At 45.4% G+C, this 3,435-nt stretch overlaps 1 annotated feature.

The window, feature by feature from the left end:
- Positions 1,179 to 1,680: an enhancer, noted in NCBI's record as "NANOG hESC enhancer chr5:143504731-143505232 (GRCh37/hg19 assembly coordinates)". NCBI's record gives its function as "activates a minimal SCP1, AML or CMV promoter by ChIP-STARR-seq in primed H9 embryonic stem cells {active_cell/tissue: H9 hESC(primed)}" and the evidence as "EXISTENCE:reporter gene assay evidence [ECO:0000049][PMID:30033119]".

Genomic DNA, 3,435 nt, shown 5'->3' on the forward strand with positions numbered 1-3,435 from the left:
TAAATTCACAAATGCCACCACAGTGCAGCAGGTATGAATCTCAATACACAACTTAGGTGTGTAAGAAGTTTAATTTTCTGTAACTTAATTCCTATTATGAGCTTCTTTACATCAAGAGGCAAAAACCTAGTATCATTCAATTCAGGGTGCATTCCTCCTTTAGAGGGTGGCATTTCTAGAGAGGGTAGTGTAGTACCCAGGCATTGTGGGACAGGCTTTATCAACCGCTATTCTCCTCTGCTTTGATAGCCTCGGCCCTACCTGACCTCGGTCCCTGGTACCACAGGTGGTTGCTGGCTGGTTCTTGGTCCTGGCCCAGGGCTCCTTTGGAGCTGTGTCTATCTGATTGTTGGACCCAGCCCGGTGTGTTGGGGGTGCCCTGCTCTTCTCTGCCTATGCATGCCTGTCCTAGGTCCATCTTCCTGGAACTATCACCTAGCTATTTCTACTCTGGGGCTTCACCTTCCAGGGCATAACGAGAAGCTGGGCACAGCTCTTTTTTTCACTCAGATCCCTCAAACCTATCTGAAATTTTGTCACCCCCACTCCAAGAAATTCATCCATCTGGGCATGGATTGGCAGAGGAGAGAGAGTTTAAAGAGCCACTTTTTTGGATATAAACTGGGGTCAGAGCTTCCTCGCTTCCCTGCACCTCCTTACCTCCTCTTAATTTGAGCAAACTTTCCAGTCTAGGAGGCTAGGAAGATTTGCTTCTACCTTCTCTACGCCTGGCTCCCCCTCAAATCCTATGACTTGAAATGCAAAGGCAATGGTTTTTAAAGTTCAAAATCTTTTACTCTGTGTCTTGTCCTCCCTGGAGAATTCAATCTCTCTCCCCTTAGGCAAATTTAGGGAAAGGTGAAGGGGTTAAAAGGAAATACCAAGGAAGACACACCAATTCGTGCAAAATATTTTTCCACCACAAAAACATACAAATTCACACACCAAATACATAGAACATAGTTAAAGGAATTAATCTACCCATTTTCACTCTCAGTGAGAAATTCCACAAGAACATAGAAACTAATAAAGGTGTAATGAGATGTGGATGTTGTCTTGGAGAGGCTCACTGATTAACAAAATTATTTACTTCCATGCATCACACTCTTATGTTATGGGAGTCAAAAGAGAGACTCCATAAAGTACAAATTGTTCCCTGTTATCTTGTAATACTTTCAACAGTTCCTATCTAAGCCCCAAGGTTGTAGGAGGGCTTCTTGTTCTATGCTTCTCTAACACCCTGGGTAAACATCAATCTCAACTCAAAAACGTACACAGAGTAAGACAGCAAGGATTGAGCAATGACTATCAAGATTTTGCTGCCAAGCAGAGTCTAAGCTCTGGAGTGTATGGTAAATATTTTTTAAATGTCTGTATATTATGATGTTTTGACATCTTAAGCCTTTCTGGCTGGGGAAAGAATGCATGTCTTTGATATGCAAAGTAACCAATCTAGAGCCAAGCCTCCTTTGTCTGGCCTGTATATCACAGGAGGTAATATTTCTCTGCCTTAATCATTCCAGAGCCAAGTGTCAGGAAACTCAGAACCACCCCTAAAGCCCAAAGCTCACCAAAGTTATTCCAACTGGCTAAACCTAAACTGTTCACTCTGCTCTGCCTTGCCTTTCCCACGGAAATGCCAATAAAGGCAATGGCCTAAACCTTTCCCTGGCTCCTGCCGTCTGCCTCCTGACCATTCCTCCTGACCACGGTGTGTTTCCCATGTGGCTCCTGCAGGGCGTGCCTCTTGTCTCTAAGACCTGTACTTACAATATATATTTTTTTCTTTGAGCCTCTTCTGTGTCTCCTGTTGTGGCCACATCTGACTGATTATCACATAAAATAATACGCAACATGGGAGAGGAATTCTGAAGGGGGAAAAGTGAAGTGGGTATTTTACAACAAAAGACGACAAACTGCATCTATGGAGAGGAAAAAAAGCAAAGCCTCTCTGTTGCTGCCTAGCTTCTTCTACCTGGGCTTGTGGGCTGGGTTGGCACGGAGCTGGCTGCAGAGGCACAGCATCTATCTCATGACCAGAGCATCTAGCTGCCCCTGTTGCACACATGAGGGGTCATGTTGAGATTATGGCTTCCAGTCACTCCTGCACCTTCTGCAGGCTAGGGAGCCAGGTCAGCGGAAGCCACCACTTTCCAGTCATTACCAGTTAATCTTTCAACCTCTTGTGACTAAGCTCATAGAGGGCAGAAACCATACTTTACTCATCCTTGTAACCCATCACCCTGCACAGGAACTAGCACACAGAAAATGCTCAGCAACACTCAACAGGCTAGGCAAGGAAGCTCATGCCTGTAATCCCAGCACTTTGGGAGGCCGAGGCTGGTGGATCACTTGAAGTCAGGAGTTCAAGACCAGCCTGGCCAACATGGTGAAACCCTGTCTCTACTAAAAATACAAAAATTAGCCAGACGAGGTGGTGGGCACCTGTAGTCCCAGCTACTTGAGAGACTGAGGCAGGAGAATTGCTTGAACCCAGGAGGCAGAGATGGCAGTGAGCTGAGATCACGCCACTGCACTCCAGCCTGGCAACAGAATGAGACTCTGTCCCCCACCCGAAAAAAAAAAAAGACCGAACCCCCCAATGTTTAGTGAGCACTTTCTTGGTGTGAAGTTCTGGGCTTACACTTGAAATGCACTATCCCATTTCATCCTCACAAAGAGTCCCTGAGGTGCATGCAGCATCACATAGAGGACATGCACATCGCCTAGGGTCACACACCTGGTAAGTGACAGAGCCAATATTTCAATCAGGAGTGGCTGACTCCTGAGGCTCAGCTCCTAAACACCTGCAATGCTGAATAGAAAGCACCGAGAAGCATTCTACAACTTCCTCGAGCATCAGGAGACTGCTCTTTAGAAGTCCAGGGCAGCTAGATCTGGAGTTGATGTGGACTGTAGGACCTGTGTTTCCATGGTTGCAGGTCTGCCAAGATTTCTGAGTAAGATAAAGCACAGAGATGAGAGCCTGAGCTTTTTTGTCAAATGATAAATCCTGAGATAGTTACATTTGTATTCACTAGCCTCTTTTCCAAAAGGTTCAAAGAGAGCTCGATGTCCAGCAGCAAGAAAACACACACATAAAGCAACAACAGCTGAATAGATCAGGCGCCCCGAGTTCACTACATTTTGGGGGGATCATCCCTCAGGTTCAAGCTTTCTCTTCTGTAAAATGAGGAGATTGTGATTCTCACTGTGATTCTCCATCTGTGGACTGACAACAAATAATATTTTAAAACACAATTTCCAGGTTTCCGCGCTGCAGCGTTTTTATTTCAGCAGGTTTTCGGCAAAGCCTAGGAGTTTGTATTTTTAAAGCTCATTGAGTGATTCTAATGCTCAGCCTAGTTTGGGAACCACTGGTCTGGGTGATCTCCTTGGTTGCTTCCTGACTGGATTACCCATTTTGGGGATTAA

Source organism: Homo sapiens, chromosome 5 (assembly GCF_000001405.40).
Source record: "Homo sapiens chromosome 5, GRCh38.p14 Primary Assembly".
Taxonomy (NCBI): Eukaryota; Metazoa; Chordata; class Mammalia; order Primates; family Hominidae; genus Homo; species Homo sapiens.